We start from the raw sequence: 22,172 nt of genomic DNA, 5'->3' as shown, positions 1-22,172 counted from the left end.
AGCCTCCCAAAGTGCTGGGATTACAGGTGTGAGCCACCGCGCCCAGCTTTTTTTTTTTAATTTTTTTAAGAGACAAGGTCTCACTCTGTTGCCCAGGCTGGAGGGCAGTGGTGCAATCATGGCTCACTGCAGCCTGGAACTCCTGGTCTCAAACAATTCCTCCCACCTCAGCTTCCCGAGTAGCTGGGACTACAGGCACGTGCCACCATGCACAGCTAATTTTTTTTTTTTTTTCTTGAAACTGAGTCTCGCTCTGTTGCCCAGGCTGGAGTGTCATGGCGCAATCTCGGCTCACTGCCAGCTCTGCCTCCCAGGTTCACGCCATTCTCCTGCCTCAGCCTCCCGAGTAGCTGGGACTACAGGCGCCCGCCACCATGCCCAGCTAATTTTTTTTGTATTTTTAGTAGAGACGGGGTTTCACTGTGTTAGCCAGGATGGTCTCGATCTCCTGACCTCGCGATCCACCTGCCTCGGCCTCCCAAAGTGCTGGGATTACAGGCATGAGCCACCGCGCCCGGCCTATGGCTAATTTTTTTGTACAGGCGGGGTTTTGCTATGTTGCCGAAGTTGGACTCGAACTGAGCGGGGCAGCTTGAGTTGAGGCACAGGTCTGGCCTCCTGGCCTTTGCTCCTGCCGTGCCCATAGCCAGCCTGCCCACCTCAGTCCTCAATCCTGCTTCACCTTGAAGACCCCAATGCCCCTCCTCCCCAGGGGGCATCCAGTGTTAAGGATCAGTCCTCAGCGAGTCCTCCTGCCTCCAAATCACACCAACGTCTTTTCCATGCCAATGAAGAAATGATCCTGGGACGGCCTGAATCAGGGACAGATTGAAGTGAGGGTCTCAGGCCCCTTAGAAGAGGGGTCTACAAGCTTCTTCTCCAATGGGCCAGACAGTAAATATTTTCAGCTTCGAGGGCCAGACAGTCTGTTGAATGACTCAATTCTGCGGTGAAGCGTAAAAGCAGCCACGGATACAGGGTAAATGAATGAGCCCGGCTCCATGCCAATAAAACTTTATTTATGGACACTAAAATTTGAATTGCATATACTTTTCCCCATGTCGTGAAATTTCCCTTTTGATTCTTTTTTCCCAACCATTTAAAAATGAAAAAGCCATTCTTAACTCGCAGGCTGTGCAGAAACAGGTGGCAGGCTGGATTTAGCAAACCAGCCTGGTTCCAACACCAGCTCCCCTCTCCCTCCGCCCCACATCTGCCCCTTCAACTCCCATATCAGGGAGTCTGGGAGGATTATCCATTTTTTTTAAAGTATTCTTATAAGGATAATATAGTCTTACATTGTTAAAATAAAAACCTGAGTCCAGCTACTTGGGAGGCTAACACTGGAGGACCGCTTGAGCTCAGATAAACGGGCAACATAGTGAGACCCCTATCTTTAAAAATTAAGGCTGGGCATGGTGGCTCATGCCTGTAATCTCAGCAGTTTGGGAGGCCAAGGCGGACGGATCACAAGGTGAAAAGAGATTGAGACCATTCTGGCTAACACGGTGAAACCCTGTCTGTACCAAAAATACAAAAAAATTAGCTAGGCGTGGTGGCGGGCGCCTGTAGTCCCAGCTACTCAGGAGGCTGAGGCAGGAGAATGGTGTGAACCTGGGAGGCGGAGCTTGCACTGAGCTGAGATTGTGCCACTGCCCTCCAGCCTGGGCGACAGAGCGAGACTCTGTCTCAAAAAGAAAAAAAAATAATAATAAAAAACTTTTTTTTTTTTTTTGAGGCAAGGTCTTCTTCTGTCACCCAGGCTGGAGTGCAGTGGTGTGATCACAGCTCACTGCAGCCTTGACCTCCTGGACTTGGCATATCCTCCCACCTCAGCCTCCCAAGTAGCTGGGACCACAGGCACATGCCACCACACCCAGCTAATTTTTTGTATATTTTCTAGAGACAGGGTTTCTCCATGTTGCCCTGGCTGGTCTCAAATTCCTGGGCTCAAGCGATCCTCATGCCTGGGCCTCCCAAAGTGCTGGAAATAGGTACTGCCCCTGGCCTAAAAAAAACAATGTTGACACAGAGTCTTGCTCTGTCGCTGAGGCTGGAGTGCAGTGGTGCGATCTCAGATCACTGCAACCTCCAGCCCTCGGGTTCAAGCGATTCTCCTGCCTCAGCCTCCCCAGTAGCTGGAATTAACAGGTGCCCACCACCATGCCTGGCTAATTTTTGTATTTTTAGTAGAGATGAGGTTTCACCATGTTAGCCAGGCTGGTCTCAAACTCCTGACCTCATGATCCGCCTGCCTCAACCTCCCAAAGTGCTGGGATTACAGGAATGAGCCATCAAGCCCAGCCAATTTTATTATTATTATTATTATTATTATTATTATTATTATTATTATTTTATGCCAGGCGTGATGGCTCACACCTGTAATCCTAGCACTTTGGGAGGCTGAGGCGGGAGGATTGCCTGAGTTCAGGAGTTCAAGACTACCCTGGGCAATACGGTGAAACCCCGTATCTACTAAAATACAAAAAACAAAAAAAATTAGCCGGGCATAGTGGTGCACGTCTGTAATCCCAGCTACTCACAAGGCTGAGGGAGGAGAATTGCTTGAACCCAGGAGGCAGAGGTTGCAGTGAGCCGAGATCCCACCACCGCACTCCAGCCTGGGTGACAGAGCAAGACTCCGTCTCTTAAAAAAAAAAAAAAAGGAAAGAAAACACATGCTCCGGCTGGGCAAGGTGGCTCACGCCTGTAATCCCAGCACTTTGGGAGGCTGAGGCGGGTGGATCACCTGTGGTCAGGAGTTGCCGACCAGCCTGGCCAATATAGTGAACCCCCGTCTCTACTAAAAATACAAAAAAATTAGCCGGGCGTGGTGGCGGACGCCTGTAATCCCAGCTACTAGGGAGACTGAGGCAGGAGAATCACTTGAACCTGGGAGGTGGAGGTTGCAGTGAGCCGAGATCATGCCACTGCACTCCAGCCTGGGCAACAAGAGTGAAACTCTACCTCAAACAAACAAACAAAAAAATTAGCCGGGCATGGCCAGGCGTGGTGGCTCTGGCCTGTAATTCCAGCACTTTGGGAAGCCAAAACGGGCTGATCACTTGAGGTCAGGAGTTCCAGACCAGCCTGACCAACATGGCGAAACCTCGTCTCTACTAAAAATACAAAAAATTAGCCAGACATGGTGGCACGCGCCTGTAATTCCAGCTACTCAGGAGGCTGAGGCAGGAGAATCGCTTGAACCCGGGAGGCAGAGGTTGCAGGAGGCTGAGGCAGGAGAATCGCTTGAACCCGGGAGGCAGAGGTTGCAGTGAGCCGAAATCACGCCACTGCACTCCAGCCTGGGCGACAGAGTGAGACACCATCTCAAAAAAGAGAGAGAGAGAAAAAAAAAGCCAGGTGTGGTGGCTCACGCCTGTAATCCTAGCACTTTGGGAGGCCGAGGCGGCTGAATTACCTCAGGTCAGAGTTCCGGTCCAGCCTGGCCAACATGGTGAAATCCTGTCTCTACTTAAAATATAAAAATTAGCCGGGCATAGTTGCAGGCGCCTGTAATCTCAGCTACTCAGGAGGCTGAGGCAGGAGAATCGCTTGAACCAACGAGGTGGAGGTTGCAGTGACCCAAGATTGCGCTGTTGCACTCCGGCCTGGGCAACAAGAGCAAAACTCTGTCAAAAAAAAGTGTGAGGGGGACAGGGGAGGAGGGGACAAATAGGAAAGTTGTTTAGCTTTGCAGGGTCTCTGTCAAAACAGCTCCACTCTGCCACAGTCACGAAAAGGCAACCACAGACAATGTGGACTCAAATGGGTGTAACCTGTGTACCCTGAATTCATGAAGGCTGGAATTGCAATTTCATATAATTGTTATGTATCATGGAATACTCTTATTCTTTTGTTTTCAACCACTTAAAAATGTAAAAACCATTCTTAGCCCAAGGGCCGTGCAGAGACAACAGACGAATGCCACCTATGGGCTGCGGTTTGCCGACCTGGGTCCAGTTGGCTTCTTGTTCTCCCGCACGTTGTTGGGGGCTGGCACAGGCTAGGCTGTACCCACAAAGGTGTTGCATGAATGAACACTGCGTGCATGAATGGTGGCAGCCAGCCGGGCCAGCAAGAGAACCCTTCCATCATCACCTCTTTCCTGAACAGCCTTGGGAAAGCCACTTAACCTCTCTGGGCCTTGTGTTTACAGCTGTAAGTGATCCTGATGTTAGTCTTGCTGGTTTGTTTTGAAGATGCTAAATGTATCTGGCCCACACAGGGCCTGCCTCAGCCTTGGTGGGGGCCTAGTGATTCCCACTCCTCCTCCCCAAAGCTGACAGGCTGTCTTTAAAAGGGAGAAGGTGGCCAGGCACGGTGGCTCACACCTATAATCGCAGCACTTTGGGAGGCCGAGGCAGGCGGATCATGAGGTCAGGAGTTGGAGACCAGCCTGGCCAACATGGTGAAACCTCATCTCTACTAAAAATAGAAAAAATTAGCCGGGCGTGGTGGCAGATGCCTGTAATCTCAGCTACTCCAGAGGCTGAGGCAAGAGAATCACTTGAACCAAAGAGGCAGAGGTTGCAGTGAGCCAAGACCGCACCACTGCACTCCAGCCTGGGCAACAGAGCGAGACTACATCTCAAAACCAAAAAAAAAAAAAAAAAAAAAGGGAGAAGGCAGGAGCATCCCCACACTGGCTCAGGGCCCCCCACCATCACTCCTCAAGCCCGCCGAGCCGGCGCCAGGGCCTGGCCAGCACCACACACACACTCTTCTCCTGGCCTAAATATATTCCAACCTCAGAGACGTTCCACGCCCCATGCTCACTTCTGCCTTCCTGCCCTAGCGTGGTACCCGGAAAAAAAAATCCCACTGAAAGAGGGCGGGTAGAGGAGGAGGAAGCAGGAGAGGGCAGTGTGGATGGTCTTGACATGTGGCCTCAAGGGTCCTGACCTTTATGGGGATGCTGGGATGGCGGAGATTGGAGGATGATAAGGACCTCCATTCTGTTTCTCTCCTCTTCTCAGTCGCTCTGAGTCACCATTCTGGCAGCCCCTGGCCTAGAGCCAAGGTGAAGTGGGACATGAGGGCAGAAGGCAGGCAGGGAGATCTGCTTGAGTCTCTGGTTTCTCCTCCACGCCCACAGGGGCCATCGGTCTTGGAGCACACACCCTAGCACCCACCCAGTAAATCCGGAGGCAGGATCAGGGTACCCCAAGCCCTCTGGCTCCGGGGCCACCATTGCCACCACCCAACCCTGGGAACCAGGAAATAGAACAAGGCAGCCTGACTCCACCCACCTCAGGCTGCCATCCAGCAAGCCCACCCACCAGGAAATGGGAGGCTGGCACCCCTCACTCCAGGTAGAGGGACGGTGCAATGGGCCATGCTATGGTCTCACCAATCCCTTCCCAAGATTCTGGAACCCGCAGATCACCTCCACCATAAGGACTCGATCCAGGCCCAAGATGAGAAAACACATGCTCCTGGCCAGGCGCAGTGGCTCATGCCTGTAATCCCAGCACTTTTGGAGGCCGAGGCGGGCAGATCTAGAGGTCAAGAGATCGAGACCATCCTGGCTAACATGGTGAAACCCTGTCTCTACTAAAAATACAAAAAAATTAGCCGGGTGTGGTGGCGGGCACCTGTATGTAGTCCCAGCTACTTGGGAGGCTGAGGCAGGAGAATGGCATGAACCCAGGAGGCGGAGCTTGCAGTGAGCCGAGATGGCGCCACTGTACTCCAGCCTGGGTGACAGAGCAAGACTCCGTCTCAAAAAAAAAAAGAAAAAGAAAGAAAGAAAGAAAGAAAAAAAAAGAACACATATGCTCCAGCTGGGCACGGTGGCTCACACCTGTAATCCAGCACTTTGGGAGGCCGAGACGGGTGGATCACCTGAGGTCAGGTCAGGAGTTCGAGCCGCCAGCCTGGCCAACATGGTGAAATCCCATCTCTACTCAAAATAAAAAAATTAGCTGCGCATGGTGGCGGGTGCCTGTAATCCCAGCTACTCGAGAGGCTGAGGCAGGAGAATCGCTTGAACCTGGGAGGCAGAGGTTGTAGTGAGCTGAGATCGTGCCACTGCACTTTAGCCTGGGAGAAAGCAAGACCTCATCTCAGAAAAAAAAAAAGAAAAAGAAAACACACGGTCTAAGTTACTTTGCAGGTTGGTATGAGTATGGACAGGTAGAACAGGTGAAGCAGGCGGCAAGGCTGCGCCCCACCCCACCCCAACATTTGGCAACATCTGGAGACATCTTTCATTGGCACAGGGTTGAGGCCAGGGCTACTACTCAACATCAAAGATGCACAGGGTAGCTCCCTGCACAAAGAGTGATCTGGCCCCACATGGAGAAACCACAGGCCGGGCGCAGTGGCTCATGCCTGTCATCCCAACACTTTGGGAGGCTGAGGCAGGAGGATTGCTTGAGGCCAGCCTGGGCAACACAGAGAGATCCCCATCTCTGAAAAAAAAAAATTCTTTTTTGAGATGGAGTTTCACTCTATTACCTAGGCTGGTGTGCAGTGGAGCAATCTTGGCTCACTGCAATCTCTGCCTCCCAGGTTCAAGTGATTCTCCCACCTCAGCCTCCCAAGGAGCTGGAATTACAGGCACTCACCATCATGCCTGGCTAATTTATATATATATAATTTTTTTTTTCTTGAGACAGAGTCTCACTCTGTCGCCCAGGCTAAAGTGCAGTGGAGTGTTCTCAGCTCACTGCAACCTCCATCTCCCGGGTTCAAGCAATTCTCTGCCTCAGCCTCCCAAGCAGCTGGGACTACAGGTGCCTGTCACCACGCCCGGCTAATTTTTGTATTTTTAGTAGAGACAGGGGTTTCACCAGGTTGGCCAGGCTGGTCTCGAACTCCTGACCTTGTTATCCACCTGCCTCGGCCTCCCAAAGTGCTGGGATTACAGGCGTGAGCCACCATGCCTGGCCTAAGAAAAAAACTTTTTAAATTAGCTGACCATGGTGGCCCACATCTGTAGTCCCTGCTACTCAGGAGGGTGAGGTGGGAAGAATTGCTTGAGCCTAGGAGTTTGAGGCTGCAGTGAGCTATGATCATGCCATGAGCTCCAGCCTGGGTAACAGAATGAGACCCTGTTTCAATAAAAAAACAAAACACAACAAAACAGGAGTTGGAAGACAAAGTTTTGGAGAAGAAGTGAGATTCTCACTGGCCTGGAACACCAAGCAAGAGGGGGCTTGGGGCTGCCTGGGTTGCTGGGAAGAGCTGCCAAGGGACCTGTCCAGTCTGGGGAGTGGCCAGGCCAGCAGGGAAGACAGCAGGAGCATCCCTCCTAGCTGAGCATTGTCCCCATCTTTTCAAAATTTACAGGTCAGCTGCCAGGGAGGGAGCCACCCAGAGCAGAGGATGGGCTCACTCGGGTTATCTGGGACAATCACAGGTAACCTCAGTCTGTCTGAGGCAGCCTGAGGGTGGGGCAGAGAATTTCCCAGGAGCCCTGTGGGGTGGGGTGTGCCTGGCTGTGTGGGACCCGCTGGGCCTGGACAAGGCAACTCTGAGAGTTAAGGAGACCGAGCTAGCCCGTCCAGTCTGACCAGAAACCCAGGCTCAAGGTTGGGATATGAGGCCATGGGGGTGGATCCTAGCTCCAGACTCCCAGCCTCAGGGACAGGGCTGGCTTAGTCATCGTGGAACCACTGGGAAGTTGAGGGATGTGTGTGCCTGCCCCACCCTCCACCCCAGGGATGTCCAGAGAGTCATGAGAAAGAGGGACAATGACCAGGCGTAGTAGCTCATCACAGTACTTTGGGAGGCAGAGGCAGGAGGCTCACTTGAAATCAGGAATTGGAGACCAGCCTCAGCAACATAGCAAGACCCCATATCTGCAAAAAAAATTAAAAAATTAGCCAGGCATGGTGATGTACACCTATAGTCCCAGCTACTTGGGAGGCTGAGGTGGGAAGATCACTTGAGCACAGGAGTTCAGGGCTGCAGTGAGCTATGATCATGCCACTACATTGCAACCTGGGTGACAGAGTGAGACCCTGTCTCTAAAAAAACAAACAAAAGAAAAAAGAAAAAGAAGAAAGGCCGGGCTCACGCCTGTAATCCCAGCATTTTCAGAGGCTGAGGCTAATGGATAACTTGAGGCCAGGAGTTTGAGATCAGCCTGGCCAACATGGTGAAACCCTGTCTCTACTAAAAATACAAAAATCGGCCAGGCATGGTGGCACATGCCTGTAGTCCCAGGTACTGGGGAGGCTGAGGCAGGAGAATTGCTTGAACCTGGGAGGTGGAGGTTGCAGTGAACTGAGATGGCACCACTATACGGCAGCCTGGGTGGAAAAAAAAAAAAAGTCAAGTAAAAGAAAGAGGCACAAGCCTGGGAGAAAGGAGGGGAACCAATGAGGATCCCAGGCATATGGAGATACAGCAGTGCCCACTCAGTGCTCAGAGAACAAAGGCCCTCCCATGAACACCCCCAATTACAAGTGGCCTCATCATAGCACTGCTGCCCTGCCCCTGCCAGAGCTGCAAAGCAAAGCAGAGAGAGGTTACATTATAGACATGTAACAAATGTTCTTATGTACGCCATACATATGCAAAAATAACTGATTTTCTTGAGACTGGGCCTTGCTTTGTTACCCAGGCTGGAGTGCAGTGACATGATCATAGCTCACTGCAGCCTCAAACTCCTGGGCTCAAGCCACCCTCCCGCCTCAGCCTCTAGAGTAGCTGGGACTACAGGTGTGCGCCACCACACCTGGCTAATTTTTTGCAGAGATGGGGGTGTGGTGGTCTTGCCATGTTGCATAGGTTGGTCTCGAACTCCTAGCCTCAAGTGATCATCCCACCTCAGCCACTCAAAGCTTTGGAATTACAGGCATCAGCCACTTTGCCTGGCTTAATTTTTTTTTTTTTTTCAGATGGAGTCTCAAAGTCTGGAGCAATGAAACCTCCTCCTCCCGGGTTCCTGATTATCCTGAGTCAGCCTCCTGAGTAGCTGGGGCTACAGGTGCATGCCACCACCACCAGCTAATTTTTGTATTTCTAGTAGAGTCAGGGTTTCACCATGTTGTCCAGGCTGGTCTCGAACTCCTGACCTCAAGTGATCCACCTGCCTCGACCTCCCAAAGTGTTGAGATTACAGGCGTGAGCCACTGCACCCTCTGAAACCCATGGTGAAACCCTGTCTCTACTAAAAATACAAAAAGTAGCCAGGTGTGGTGGCGCACGCCTGTCGTCCAGCTACTCGGGAGGCTGAGGCAGGAGAATCATTCGAACCTGGGAGGTGGAGGTTGTAGTGAGCTGAGATCACACCACTGCACTCCAGCCTGGGCGACAGAGTGAGACTCTGTCTCAAAAAAGAAAAAGAAAAAGAAAAAAAACCTCCCAGACTGAAGAGAAGGCTTTGGTAGATCCAGGGGCATGCACCCTCAGCTTCCCCCTCCAAACTGGCTTCATATCCAACCCTCATGGGAGGGAATTTCTGGTCCCAAACAGCATGACAGTACTTTGAAAATTCCAGTATCTGTTTATAAGGTAGTGTCCGCAGGGATTTGGAAAGTGTCTGGAGAACGCGTGGAAGGCAGCGCGCAGACTTTAGTGGCCTCCCCCAGCCAGCAGCACGAAGGGGTAAAAGGGTCCCAAGAGCCCCACCCCACCTACCGCCACCTCATCCTGAGTCTGAGAGCTGCAGCCCGCACAGACCAGGCAGTGAGTAATTGCAGGTTTGCTTCAAGCCTTCCGGGTCGTGAGAAACCAAAGTTTCACTCCGGAAGGGCGCGCCTCGGCAGCAGGGGAGAGAAGGAAGGGGGTTGGGGGTGGGGTGGTCTCAGGTGGAGGTTGGCAGCGAGCTGGCCTGGAGCCCAGGCTCCAGAGCTTACCAAGCCCCAGCTGCTGGGCCCCGGCCCCTCTGGCCTCTGACACGCCCCTGACTAGGCGGCCTCCCGACAGGCCCTCCCTGCCCCCCGGTCTAAAGGCTGAAGCAATGAGCCATTTCCTTTCCCGTGAACTCAGCCAGGGCCCCGCTGATTGCAGACACCACCAGCAAGGATGGGTACCAGGAAATGGCGGGGGCAGAGGGAGGAGATTGCAGCAGCCTCTCCAGTCTAGCAGTTTGATCATGCTCAGTAAATAATGTTTACAAAACAAGTAAATAAACAAGTGAGGGTGGGGCGCAGTGGCTCACGCCTGTAATCCCAGCACTTTGGGAGGCTGAGACAGGTGGATCACGAAGTCAGAAGTTCAAGATCAGCCTGGCCAAGATGGTGAAACCACATCTCTACTAAAAATACAAAAATTAGCCGGGCATGGTGGTGCACACCTGTAATCCCAGCTCCTCAGGAGGCTGAGGCAGAGAATTGCTTGAACCCGGGAGGCGGAGGTTGCAGTGAGCCGAGATCGCGCCTTGCACTCCAGCCTGGGTGACAGAACGAGACTCCATCTCAAAATAAATAAATTTAAATAAACAAGTGAACAACAGCAAACAAAAAACTTTGTCTTTACCCAGCCCCTGGACTGAGCGTGCACAGATTGACCCCTGGGGAAGTGTTCATCCTGCAGAAAGGGGAGAAGAGAGGAAAATGAAGTGAAGTGGCAAATGATTCTAAGAGGGAACCTGGTGAGTGATCAGCCCTGGATATGAGGAAAGAGAAAACAGGTAGCCCAGGAGTGGCAAGGAGACCTGGGGTGCGGCTCTCAGCTCCCAGAAGGAGCTGGTTCCTTATCTGAGAACCAGAGATAGAAGCTGGGTTTAAGCAAAAGTTCACCAACCAGGACAAAGGTCCTCACACTCTCCTCCTCCCCACCGAAAAGAAAAGAAAAGAAGAAAAATCCGGCCGGGCGTGGTGGCTCACACCTGTAATCCCAGCACTTTGGGAGGCCGAGGCGGGCAGATCACGAGGTCAGGAGTTCGAGACCAGCCTGACCAACATGGTGAAACCCCGTCTCTACTTAAAAAAAAAAAAAATACAAAAATTAGCTGGGCACGGTGGTGCACGCCTGTAATCCCAGCTACTCAGGAAGCTGAGGCAGGAGAATTGCTTGAACCTGGGAGGCAGAGCTTTCAGTGAGCCAAGATTGGGCCATTGCACTCCCACCTGGGCGACAGAGCAAGACTCCATCTCAAAAAAAAAAAAAAATCCAGGAGAGGAAGAATGTCAATGGGCTTTGCTTTACTGGACAGGGTAACCCTGGACACTTTGTTTAACCACTCTGTGCCTCAGTTCCCCTCAGTTCCCTCATCTGTAAAATGGGGCTAATGAAAGTGCCTACCTGGTGGGGCACAGTGGCTCACACCTGTAATCTCAGCACTTTGGGAGGCTGAGGCAGGCAGATCACCTGAGGTCAGGAGTTCCAAGACCAGCCTGGCCAACATGGTGAATCCCCATCTCTGCTAAAAATACAAAAATTAGCTGGGCGTGGCGGTGCATGCCTGTAATCCCATCTACTTGGGAAGCTGAGGCAGGAGAATTGCTTGAACCTGGGAGGCAGAGGGTTCAATGAGCTGATATCGCGTCACTGCACTCCAGCCTGGGCAACAGAACAAGACTCCACTTCAGAAGGAAAAAAAAAAAAAAGGCCGAGCGCGGTGGCTCACACCTGTAATCCCAGAACTTTGGGAGGCCAAGGCGGGCGGATCACCTGAGGTTGGGAGTTCGAGACCCACATGGCGAAACCCCACCTCTCTACTAAAAATATAAAATTAGCCGGGCATGGTGCCCATGCCTGTAATCCCAGCTGCTCAGGAGGCTGAGGCAAGAGAATCACTTGAACCCAGAGACGGAGGTTGCGGTGAGCTGAGACCGTGCCATTGCACTCCAGCCTGGGCAACAAGAGTGAAACTCCGTCGCGGGGGGAAAAAAAGGCCTACTTTAGGGCTGGGCTGGGCACGGTGGCTCATTCCTGTAACCTCAGCACTTTGGAAGGCCGAAGGCAGGAGGATCACTTGAGCCCAGGAGTTAAAGACCATCCTGGGCAACATAGCAAGACCCCTAAAAAAAAAAAGAGTGAAGTGCCTACTTTTTATCCTGACCCAGGCTTGTGGTGAGGATTAAACAAATGCACGGAAGTGACCAAGTACAGCATACCTTCAGGGCCTGGGGCTGCCATAAGCATCAGTAAGTCTCTCTCTTGACTATGGGAGAGGTTATCTTACCCGTAAAAAACCAGAAGCCTCCAGGGCAGAAGCAAAGTCTCTGGGGCCTTTGGAGGCTCTCGGAATCTTCCGAGGGCATTTCTCAGACTCTCTGTGTAAACAGAGGGGACTTGGCTTGAAGCCTCAATTAACACAGCAGTTAATTCCCCCAACATGACTTCTCAGGGCTCCCAGGAGAAACAAACCGTTTCCAAGGCTCCCAGCCCACTCCTGCCCCTTAGGGAGCTCCTAGACTGCCGTGTCCTCTTGGTAGGCCCCTGAAAGAACTTCTACAAGCCAAGGGAAACTGAGACCCAGGCTGCCAAGGGAACTGACTCAGGGATCGTGGCCCCTAGGTAAGCCCAGCAAGGCAGCTAGAACAGTGGTTTGCAGACATGGCTGTTCCTTGGATTCACCTAGGATGCCTGGGTTCCCCGACCCCATCCCTGTCCATGCCCTGGAGATCCTGGTGTAACCTATCTGGGGAAAAGCCTTGAACGTCTCTGAGCTCAGTGCACAGGCTTCTCCCAGGCTAGCCCTGCCCCGTCCCTGACTGCACAGCCCTCAGCAATAGAGGAGAAAGCCCTGTAACTCCATCAAGTGAGAAAAGGTGTGATTCACCTCACCCCTCCTAAGTACACTCACAAAAGCCTCAATTAACACAACAGTTAATTCCCGCAACAAGATTTCCCCTCAGGCTGCCTCTGCCCCTTCCCACAAGGCGGGACCTGGGAGGTGCTCCCTGCAGCTGCACCCCGAGGAAAGGGTTAACAGGAAGTGCCTGGCGTCCTGCAGCCACAGAAGCCCCATTGTTCTTCAGCCTGTCCCCTCCCCCTCGTCCAGGAAGACCCTCTGGGGAGCCCCTTCCAAGGGGCCGTGGAGTCTCTCCAGGCTGAAGGCCAGCCCATCGGGAGAGTGTGCACAGGAAAAGGAAACCGGCTGGGTGCGGGCTGAGGAGGCACAGCTGTCACTGACGCATCTTGGGCGGGGGGCAATTTCCGAGGAGGGGCGCTCCACCTTGCCCGCCTGGTGTATGCGGGAGGGGGTCAGCCCTCCCTGCAGTCCCCATCTGGAAGCTACAAGCCTTTGATTTGGGGTTCTTAAGTAAAACTGGATCCTCTGCCTCCCTCCAGCCATGCCCCCGCTCCACCCCAAGCATCCCTGGGTCCGAAAGTTTAACATCCCACCCCTCCTCCATCTGATTTCAGATCACTCCTCCAGGTCCTAACTGTCAGCTTTTTCTGATTAACTGTGCTGGGTGGGGTGGCCTGGATTGGGGGTGGGGGGGTTGCAGGAAGGAGGAGAACTGTTGGCAATTCCCTGGGAGCCCGAGGGGGCGGGCTGGCTGAGGGTGAGCAGCTGGCAACCAGACAGGCCGAGGCCCTGGGTGGACAGGCCGAGGAGGAAATTAATTGGTGCCAGTCGGGTGGCCAGCCGGCTGGGATGACGGCACTCCCGGGGGCCCGGCCAGCCGCCGAGGTGCGGGAGAGCTGGGGGATGGGGGACAGTGAATGCTGGGATTATGTCTTAACTAAGACTCAACAGTGTACTGGGGGAGGGGCCAATTGGGCCAGGAGGCTCGAAGACAGTGCAGGGAAGGGCAGCAGGGCTAGGGCCCCTGAGGGTTTCTTCTGAGAAAGGGATTCACCAAAGGGCCAGGCGGGGAGCACGATATGGGGAGGCCTCAGCTCCTGAGCTCAGCTCACTTGGACATGTTTGGGGAGACACAAGCTCCCCTTAACACAGACCTGGGTGGGATGACCCCCTAGGCTGAGCCTCAGGAAACAGGAAAGGTCCTGGTCAGAGCGCTTCTGGACAGAGGTGGGCTTTCCTGGACAAACGTCGGGGCTCTGAACTCATCTGGACACAGGTAGAGAAGATCTGGGCTCCCCCAAACACAGGTGTGTGGATCTGAGCGCTACTAGACACGGCTGTGAGGGTTGTGGGCTCCCCTAGACACTAAAAAACCGGGGAAGGTGTAGGCTTTCCAGAACACGGCGGGTTCTGAGCTCCCCTGGACAGAGGTGTGAGGTTCGGGGCTCCCTGAATACACGTGGAGGCTTCAGCAACCCCCAACCCAAAGAGAGTAGTGTGAGCCTCAAACTCGCAAGTCTCATTACTCTTTCATTCTCTCGGCCCTTTTTCCCTGATTGGGAGCCGAACCCCCAAGGGCGGTGCAGAAGCCACGACTTCCCATTGCCTCTGACGCCCCCGGGACCTGGGCGCGACCCCCGCCTCCGCCTTCCCGCTGGGCCGCAAGCTCCGCCCCCGCCTCCCTGGGGCGGGCAGGGCGGGTCCGGAAAGGGGGCGTGGCCCGGGCAGCTGACTACGCGGGGAGTTCTTGGAAGTCGCGGGTTGCAGCGCGCGGAGACGGAGCCCGGGGAAAAGCCAAATGCGGGAGTCAATTTGCATGCACCGCCCTTGGGCGTGATAGACACAGGATGGCTCCGCCCTGCATAGTGACGACTTACCCACCTCCAACGCTCGGCCTCCCGCTCACATTTCCTTGGCAAGATCAAATCCCCACCCTGCCTGGCTAGCAACTGGGCCGCGGCGTGGCCTGCGTCGTCCCTGCCCTCGGGCGGGTGGACTTCGCCCAAGGTCCTGGAACCGGGTAAACCGGTCTGGGTGCTGCTTCTGGATTGGTCCCGACCTGTGGCCCGGCCCTTTCCCAGATCTACAGAGGCTGAACTGGGGCGCCCTTCCTTTGGGTCCTGCACGGCAGGGCAGGGCAGAGTGGGGAGGAGGCTTCGGGATAGAGGACCCGACTAGAGCTGTCCTTTACTTGCTGTCTTGCAGAGCGAAACTCTGTGGGCCTGTTTCCTCATATATACACAGTGGACGTTAAGAGGACAGATCTCAAACGAAGGTTGCAAAGGCATCATTCATTCACAAAAACCGCTTAACCATCTGCTAGACTTGGAGGCAGTAGGCTACAAGAGGAAACTAACTCAGAAACAACGGTTTAATTCTACAAAGGTAAAATTGCACTTGTGATAAGTATTAACAAAAAAAAATTTTTTTTTTTTTGAGACTGAGTCTCACTGTCACCCAGGCTGGAGTGCATTGGCGCTATCTCAGCTCACTGCAACCTCAGCCCCCCGGCCCCGGGTTCAAACGATTCTCCCATCTCACCCTTCCGAGCAGCTGGAACTACAGGTGCGCGCCACCACGCCTGGCTAATTTTTGTATTTTTAGTAGAGATGGGGTTTCACTATGTTGGCCAGGCTGGTCTCAAACTCCTGACCTCAAGTGATCCGCCCACCTCAGCCTCCAAAAATGCTGGGATTACAGGCATGAACCACCACTCCCAGCCCCGCAAAAATTTATTTTATTATTATTTTTTGAGATGAAGTCTTGCTCTGTCGCCCAGGCTAAAGTGAAGTGGCTTGACCTTGGCTCACTGCAACCTCCGCCTCCCGGGTTCAAGCGATTCTCCTGCCTCAGCCTCCCAAGAGGTGGGATACAGGCTCCTGCCACCACGCCCGGCTAATTTTTGTATTTTTAGTAGAGATGAGGTTTCACCATATTGGCCAGGCTGGTCTCGAGCTCCTGAACTTGTGATCCGCCCACCTTGGCTTCCCAAAGTGCTGGGATTACAGGTGTGAGCCACTGCGCCTGGTCTCTTTATTTTTCTTGAGACAGAGTCTTACTCTGTCGCCCAGCTGGAGTGCAGTGGTGCCATCTCGGCTCACTGAAACCTTCTCCTCCAAGGTTCCAGCGATTCTCCTGCCTCAGCCTCTGGAGTAGCTGGGACTACAGGCGCGTGTTACCATGCCTGGCTAATTTTTGTATTTTTAGTAGAGATGGGGTTTCACCTTATTGGCCAAGTTGGTCTTGAACTCCTGACCTCGTGATCCTCCTGCCTCGGTCTCCCAAAGTGTTGGCATTACAGGCGTGAGCCACCATGCCTGGCCAAATGTTTTAAATAAAGTAGCTCTTGATCCGAGTGTCAAATATAGGGGTCTTGCCTCCCATCAGAGACTGGTTAAATAAATAAATAAAAAACACCAGCCTGGGCAACATGGAAATTCCATCTCTACAAAAAAAATAAAAAATTAGCCAGGCATCGTGGTGTGTGCCTGGGGTCTCAGCTATGCTGGAAGCTGAGATGGGAGGATCCCTTAAGCACTAGACTTTGAGGCTGCAGTGAGCCTTGGATCATGCCACTACACTCCAGTCTGGGCGACAAAGCAAGACCCTGTCTCAAAAATAGATTAATTAATTAAAATAAAATAAAATAGGCCAGGTACGGTGGCTCATGCTTGTAATCTCAGCACTTTGGGAGGCTGAGGCGGGCGGATCAGGAGATCGAGACCATCCTGGACAACATGGTGAAACCCCATTTCTACTAAAAATACAAAAATTAGCTAGGTGTGATGGTGGGAGCTTGTAATCCCAGCTACTCGGGAGGCTGAGGCAGGAGAATCACTTGAACCCGGGAGGTGGAGGTTGCAGTGAGCTGAGATCGCACCACTGCACTCCAGCCTGGGTGACAGAGAGAGACTCCATCTCAAAAAATAAAAATAAAAAATAAAATAAAGCAGTCCTTAGGCCAAAAGAGGGTTAGACAGGGAACACTTCCCTGAGGATTTGCCCCTTGAGCTGAGCTGGCTTCACTAGGTGAGCAAGGAAGCTGAAAGATCTTCAGGAGGTCACGGCATATCCAAAGGCCATGTGGCTGAGAAGGCTGTGGAAGTATGAGGAACAAAAAGCAGGTCCATGTGGCCAGAGGGTGATGCATGATTCATCCAGAGATGGGATGGCCCCAGATCAAGCAGGGCCTTGCAGATCATCATAGGAGTTTGTCCCTCTTCCAGAAGCAGAATTTTCCATATTCTGGGACAGTGTGGCAAAATAATTCAAGGTTATTTATTTATTTATTTATTTTTTTGAGACAGTCTCACTCTGTTGCCCAGGCTGGAGTGCCGTGGTGTGATCTTGACTCACTGCATCCTCTGCCTCCCGGGCTCAAGCAATTCTCCTGCCTCAGCCTCCCAAGTCGCTGGGACTACAGGCACTCACCACCATGCCCGGCTAATTTTTGGATTTTTATTAGAGGTGATGTTTCACCATGTTGGCTAGGCTGGCCTCAAACTCCTGACCTCAGGTGATCCGCCCACCTCGGCCTCCCAAAGTGCTGAGATTACAGGCGTGAGCCACTTCGCCCAGCCCAATTCAATGTTATTTAAATAACGTGGACTGGATCTCTCCAAATTTCTCCCTTGTCAACTTGCATCCCCCTTCTCAGCCCAAGCATAGTTTTCTTCCCTTGGAAACAATGTGTCGTTAAGGCTGGCTAATCTCTCTTTGAAACTATTAAACCTGTTACTGTTTCAGCAGGATCTTTTGACATTGTTTTATTTTCATTGTAACCTTTTAAAAAACTGTTACTTTCTAAATAGGGAGAGTGATTAATAAGTGGGTTAACGCAAAGAAAACTATTACATGAATACAGTTAGCTGGGCATGGTGTCACAGGCCTGCGGTCCCAGCTCCTGCAGAGGCTGAGGTGGGAGGACTGCTTGAGCCTAGGCAGTGGAGGCTGCAGTGAGCTATGATGGCGCTGCTGTTCTCCAGCCTGGGCAACATAGCAAGACCCTGTCTATAAATGATAATAATAATAGTACAGTAGTTATGAAAATATCACAAATATCCTGACCCCTCAACCATCTGAGGTTTGAGAAATTCTAAGAGTCATGTAGAAGCCACTGATTTAATGAGATGATAAACATTAAGCATGTAACACCTGTTTACCCAAAACAACCTCATTCACTCATTCAGGCTCAGGCTGGACATTGGTAGAATTAACAGAATTAACTTCTGAGTTAGGGCACAAATCCTAAGTAAAAAATAAATACGTCCAGGTGCAGTGGCTCACGCCTGTAATCCCAGCACTTTGGGAGGCTGAGGCAGGCAGATCACTTGAGCTCAGGAGTTCCAGACCAGCCTGGGCAACATGGTGAAACCCTGTGTCTGCAAAAAATATAAAAATTAGCCAGGCGCAGTGGTGTGCACCTGCAATCCCAGCTACTCAGGAGGCTGAGGTGGGAGAATCTCGTGAACCTGTTAGGAAGATATTGCAGTGAGCCAAGATCGTGCCACTGCACTCCAGCCTAGGCAATAGAGCAAGACCCTGTTAGAAAAGAAAGAGCCAGGCGCGGTGGCTCATGCCTATAATCCCAACACTTTGGGAGGCTGAGGCGGGCGGATCACGAGGTCGAGATGGAGACCATCTTGGCCAACATGGTAAAACCCCGTCTCTACTAAAATACAAAAAATTTCGGCCAGGTGCGGTGGCTCATTCCTGTAATCCCAGCACTTTGGGAGGCCGAGGTGGGTGGATCACCTGAGGTCAGGAGTTTGAAACTAGCCTGGCCAACATGGTGAAACCTCGTCTTTACTAAAAATACAAAAATTAGCCAGGCATGGTGGCGGGTGCCTGTAATCCTAGCTACTCAGGAAGCTGAGGCAGGAGAATTGCTTGAACCCAGGAGGTGGAGGTTGCAGTGAGCCAAGATTGCACCACTGCACTGCAGCCTGGTTGACAGAGCAAGACTTCGTGTCAAAAAGAAAAAAAAAATTAGCTGGGCTTTCGGCTTGGAGGAGCCCAAGGTGCAGCTTTCTTCGGTTGTCCAGAATCCAGGTTTTTCCAAAACCAATCACCTCCACCATGCTGCCAAAGTTCAACCCCAACGAGATCAAATTTGTATACCTGAGGTGCACTCGGGGTGAAGGGGGTGCCACTTCTGCACTAGCCCCCAAGATCGGCCCCCTGGGTCTGTCTCCAAAAAAGCTTGGTAATGACCTTGCCAAGGCAATGGGGTGACTGGAAGGGCCTGAGGATTACAGTGAAACTGACCATTCAGAACAGACAGGCCCAGATTGAGGTGGTGCCTTCTGCCTCTGCCCTGATCATTAAAGCCCTCAAGGAACCACCAAGAGACAGAAAGAAACAGAAAAACATTAGACACAATGGGAATATCACTTTTGATGAGATCGTCAACATTACTCGACAGATGTGGCACCGATCTTTAGCCAGAGAACTCTCTGGAACCATCAAAGAGATCCTGGGGACTGCCCAGTCTGTAGGCCGTAATGTTGATGGCCGCCACCCTCGTGACATCATAGATGACATCAACAGTGGTGATGGCTGGGCGCGGTGGCTCACGCCTGTAATCCCAGCCCTTTGGGAGGCCGAGGCAGGCAGATCACGAGGTCAGGAGATCAAGACCATCCTTGCTAACAAGGTGAAACCCCGTCTCTACTAAAAATACAATACAAAAAAATTAGCCGGGCGTGGTGGCAGGCGCCTGTAGTCCCAGCTACTCAGGAGGCTGAGGCAGGAGAATGGCGTGAACCTGGGAGGTGGAACTTGCAGTGAGCCGAGATCGCGCCACTGAACTCCAGCCTGAGCGACAGAGCAAGACTCCGACTCAAAAAAAAAAACCCCAAAAAACCAGAAAAACCCACAGTGGTGCTGTGAAATGCCCAGCTAGTTAAGAAGCACAAAGAAAAATATTTCAATAAAGGGTCATTTGACAACCGGTGGGAAAAAAAAAATTAGCCAGGTGTCGTGGTGTGCGCCTGTAGTCCCAGCTACTTCGGAGGCTGAGGCAGGGGAACTGCTTGAATCCGGGAGGCCAGGGTTGCAGTGAGCCGAGATTGCACCACTGTATTCCAGCCTGGCAACAGAGCGAGACTCTGTCAAAAACAAAAAAGAAAAGAAAAGAAAGAGACAAGGAAGAAAAGAGAGAGAAGAAGAAAAAAAAGAAAAATTAGCTGGGTGTGGTGGCGTAGTCCCAGCTACTCCAGAGGCTGAGGTGGGAGGATTGCCTGAGCCCAGGAGCTCGAGGCTGCAGTGAACTGTAATCAAGCCACTGCACTCCAGCCTGGGTGATAGAGAGACTCTAGTTGAAAGAAAGAAAGGAAAGAAAGGAAGAAAGGAAGGGAAGGAGGGAGGGAAAGAAAAGAAAGAAAGAAAAAGGAAAGAAGGAAGGAAGAAAGAAAAGAAAGAAAAAGAGAAAGAAAGAAAAAAAAAAGAAATTAGCTGTGCATGGTGCCTGAGCCTGTGGTCCAACCTGCTTGGGAGGCTGAGGTAGGAGGATTGCTTGAGTCTGGGAGTTCGAGGCTACATGGCTACACTGAGCCATGATTGCACTGAAAACTCTTGGCCTCAAGTGATCCTCCCACCTCAGCCTCCTAAATTTTTGGGGTTACAGGCATGAACCATGGCACCCAGCACATTTAGCATTTTCTACGTGCCAGCACTCTGCTAGGTTTGTTGTAAGGATTACATGTGTAATCTCAATCCTTACAACAAACCTAAAAGGCAGGGACTATTATTGTCCCCAGTATACGGTTGGGGAAACAGGCCCAGAGAGGTCAAGTGACTCACTCAAGGATGCATAGCAAGAAAACGAAAGTAGACCTGGTTGTTTCCCTCCCTCCAGAATATGTTCTTCTTCTTCTTCTTCTTCTTCTTTTTTTGAGACAGAGTCTTCCTCTGTAGCCCAGGCTGGAGTGCAGTGACACCATCTCGGCTCACTGCAACCTCTGCCTCCTGAGTTCAAGTGATTCTCCTGCCTCAGCCTTCGGATAGCTGGGATTACAGGCGCCTGCCACCTTGCCTAGCTAATTTTTGTATTTTTAGTAGAGATGGGGTTTCACCATGTTGATCAGGCTGGTCTCGAACTCCTGACCTCAGGTGAGCTGCCCACCTCAGCCTTCCAAAGTGCTGGGATTACAGGCATGAGCCACCATGCCCGGCCCAGAATATGTGCTTCTTACCTGACTTCTGCAGCTGGCCTTTGTCACTCAGCATCATGTTTCTGGTACCGAATTATCTGTGTGGCCTGTGTGTGTAGTTCTGTCTGGCTCCGGCCTTTTATCCTCTGGGGAGGACCCATCTGGGAGGATGGGCATGTAGGCTGTGCTGTTTGCAGTTTGTGCCAATTTAGTACAAGCCAGCAGCAAACACCTTTCTGGAGTCTCCTGCAGCAGGCTTGGGGTTCCCTGCTGGAACCTGCTGGTCACAGGATGGGTGACCTTTTTAGTTTTCACAGCCATTGTCCAATCAATTAGTCCAGGCCTCACCAATGTTATTTGCTGTGACAAGGTTCAATGCTGCCTTTTCTGATGGGTCCAGTGGGGTCTTGGGGATGGGTGTGTCTTAAGGGGATGTGTCTGTAGTGTGTTTGTTCCAGCCCCATCTTCAGTCCCATCACTTTCAGTCCCCAGCCCCACGGTGGCCGGGCACCGGAAACCCCCAAGAGGCCCGGGCGGGGGCGGGGGTCGGCCAAGCCGCTTCCCGCGGAAGGAAGGGCCCGGCGGTTCCTGCGACAGGATGCGCGGCAAGGCCCCCTCCCCAGGGGCCCGGGACTTCCCTGAGCCTTGCCACGCTCGCGGGGGAGGAACTCCGACGCGGGTGCATTGAGCTACCGCCTGCGGTGTGGGGCTCCAGTGCCCCCACGTCCCCTGGGAGAGTTGGGTGGGTCAGGACTCGGAGTAGGTGGCGCCTTTTAAAAGTCCCCCCACGTGTTCCCAGGAAGGAATCAGGCAGCCGTGGGGGCGAGCTTGGCTGGAGAACGGTGAGAAGCTCTCCTTCACAATCCACACAGGAGAGGAAAGGGGGTGTGGGTTGGGCGGGAGGGGAGCCAAAGCTCCCAGATTCCACCAGCAGACGTTCTGAGGCCGGCTTGCCCCTCCTTCTACCCTGTGGCCACGGGGTCAGTTCCCCTGGGGTCATGGGAAGCCTGCGGCGGCAGAGCCAGCCGTCGGCGGGGCGGGGCGAGCGCTTTCCCGGCGCCTGCCGCCGCCACCACTCCCCGCACCTGCGACTCCTTTGTCTTCCCGACAGGCCCCCTCCCTTCGCCCTGGGGCAACGCCCACAACCCCACTCTTAAACCTACGTGGGGTATATTGAAAGGGCTTTCTCGTTTCGGGGTGGTTATTCTAGAGCTGGGGAGTGACCCAAGAAAATAACTAGGGCTCTAATGGGCATTTTTAAAAACCTAATGCCGGGTGGAGAAGCTGCTTAGAGGCCCATTTCACAGATGAGGAAACTGAGGCTGCACGTCCCTGCCTGAGACACACAACGATTCCTCGAG

The 22,172-nt window shown here is 52.6% G+C and overlaps 1 pseudogene, besides 15 other annotated features; it reads left to right on the top strand.

Annotated features, from left to right (window-relative positions):
- Window positions 4,901-4,950: an enhancer, noted in NCBI's record as "active region_14123". NCBI's record gives its function as "activates an Ori minimal core promoter by ATAC-STARR-seq in GM12878 lymphoblastoid cells {active_cell/tissue: GM12878}" and the evidence as "EXISTENCE:reporter gene assay evidence [ECO:0000049][PMID:35858748]".
- Window positions 4,991-5,050: an enhancer, noted in NCBI's record as "active region_14122". NCBI's record gives its function as "activates an Ori minimal core promoter by ATAC-STARR-seq in GM12878 lymphoblastoid cells {active_cell/tissue: GM12878}" and the evidence as "EXISTENCE:reporter gene assay evidence [ECO:0000049][PMID:35858748]".
- Window positions 6,902-7,402: an enhancer, noted in NCBI's record as "H3K4me1 hESC enhancer chr19:13280937-13281437 (GRCh37/hg19 assembly coordinates)". NCBI's record gives its function as "activates a minimal SCP1, AML or CMV promoter by ChIP-STARR-seq in primed H9 embryonic stem cells {active_cell/tissue: H9 hESC(primed)}" and the evidence as "EXISTENCE:reporter gene assay evidence [ECO:0000049][PMID:30033119]".
- Window positions 7,403-7,903: an enhancer, noted in NCBI's record as "H3K4me1 hESC enhancer chr19:13280436-13280936 (GRCh37/hg19 assembly coordinates)". NCBI's record gives its function as "activates a minimal SCP1, AML or CMV promoter by ChIP-STARR-seq in naive H9 embryonic stem cells {active_cell/tissue: H9 hESC(naive)}" and the evidence as "EXISTENCE:reporter gene assay evidence [ECO:0000049][PMID:30033119]".
- Window positions 9,596-10,223: an enhancer, noted in NCBI's record as "H3K27ac-H3K4me1 hESC enhancer chr19:13278116-13278743 (GRCh37/hg19 assembly coordinates)". NCBI's record gives its function as "activates a minimal SCP1, AML or CMV promoter by ChIP-STARR-seq in naive H9 embryonic stem cells {active_cell/tissue: H9 hESC(naive)}" and the evidence as "EXISTENCE:reporter gene assay evidence [ECO:0000049][PMID:30033119]".
- Window positions 11,675-12,252: an enhancer, noted in NCBI's record as "NANOG-H3K27ac-H3K4me1 hESC enhancer chr19:13276087-13276664 (GRCh37/hg19 assembly coordinates)". NCBI's record gives its function as "activates a minimal SCP1, AML or CMV promoter by ChIP-STARR-seq in primed H9 embryonic stem cells {active_cell/tissue: H9 hESC(primed)}" and the evidence as "EXISTENCE:reporter gene assay evidence [ECO:0000049][PMID:30033119]".
- Window positions 13,840-13,929: an enhancer, noted in NCBI's record as "active region_14121". NCBI's record gives its function as "activates an Ori minimal core promoter by ATAC-STARR-seq in GM12878 lymphoblastoid cells {active_cell/tissue: GM12878}" and the evidence as "EXISTENCE:reporter gene assay evidence [ECO:0000049][PMID:35858748]".
- Window positions 14,200-14,599: a silencer, noted in NCBI's record as "silent region_10201". NCBI's record gives its function as "represses an Ori minimal core promoter by ATAC-STARR-seq in GM12878 lymphoblastoid cells {active_cell/tissue: GM12878}" and the evidence as "EXISTENCE:reporter gene assay evidence [ECO:0000049][PMID:35858748]".
- On the top strand, window positions 18,651-19,615 carry RPL12P42 (ribosomal protein L12 pseudogene 42; annotated as a pseudogene).
- Window positions 19,103-19,152: an enhancer, noted in NCBI's record as "active region_14120". NCBI's record gives its function as "activates an Ori minimal core promoter by ATAC-STARR-seq in GM12878 lymphoblastoid cells {active_cell/tissue: GM12878}" and the evidence as "EXISTENCE:reporter gene assay evidence [ECO:0000049][PMID:35858748]".
- Window positions 19,243-19,302: an enhancer, noted in NCBI's record as "active region_14119". NCBI's record gives its function as "activates an Ori minimal core promoter by ATAC-STARR-seq in GM12878 lymphoblastoid cells {active_cell/tissue: GM12878}" and the evidence as "EXISTENCE:reporter gene assay evidence [ECO:0000049][PMID:35858748]".
- Window positions 19,853-19,962: an enhancer, noted in NCBI's record as "active region_14118". NCBI's record gives its function as "activates an Ori minimal core promoter by ATAC-STARR-seq in GM12878 lymphoblastoid cells {active_cell/tissue: GM12878}" and the evidence as "EXISTENCE:reporter gene assay evidence [ECO:0000049][PMID:35858748]".
- Window positions 20,300-20,389: an enhancer, noted in NCBI's record as "active region_14117". NCBI's record gives its function as "activates an Ori minimal core promoter by ATAC-STARR-seq in GM12878 lymphoblastoid cells {active_cell/tissue: GM12878}" and the evidence as "EXISTENCE:reporter gene assay evidence [ECO:0000049][PMID:35858748]".
- Window positions 20,690-20,839: an enhancer, noted in NCBI's record as "active region_14116". NCBI's record gives its function as "activates an Ori minimal core promoter by ATAC-STARR-seq in GM12878 lymphoblastoid cells {active_cell/tissue: GM12878}" and the evidence as "EXISTENCE:reporter gene assay evidence [ECO:0000049][PMID:35858748]".
- Window positions 21,200-21,469: a silencer, noted in NCBI's record as "silent region_10200". NCBI's record gives its function as "represses an Ori minimal core promoter by ATAC-STARR-seq in GM12878 lymphoblastoid cells {active_cell/tissue: GM12878}" and the evidence as "EXISTENCE:reporter gene assay evidence [ECO:0000049][PMID:35858748]".
- Window positions 21,680-21,999: a silencer, noted in NCBI's record as "silent region_10199". NCBI's record gives its function as "represses an Ori minimal core promoter by ATAC-STARR-seq in GM12878 lymphoblastoid cells {active_cell/tissue: GM12878}" and the evidence as "EXISTENCE:reporter gene assay evidence [ECO:0000049][PMID:35858748]".

The sequence above is a fragment of the Homo sapiens genome, chromosome 19 (assembly GCF_000001405.40).
Source record: "Homo sapiens chromosome 19, GRCh38.p14 Primary Assembly".
Lineage (NCBI taxonomy): Eukaryota > Metazoa > Chordata > Mammalia > Primates > Hominidae > Homo > Homo sapiens.
The sequence above is the reverse complement of the archived record's forward strand: the minus strand, read 5'-3'. Positions and strand labels throughout refer to the sequence as shown.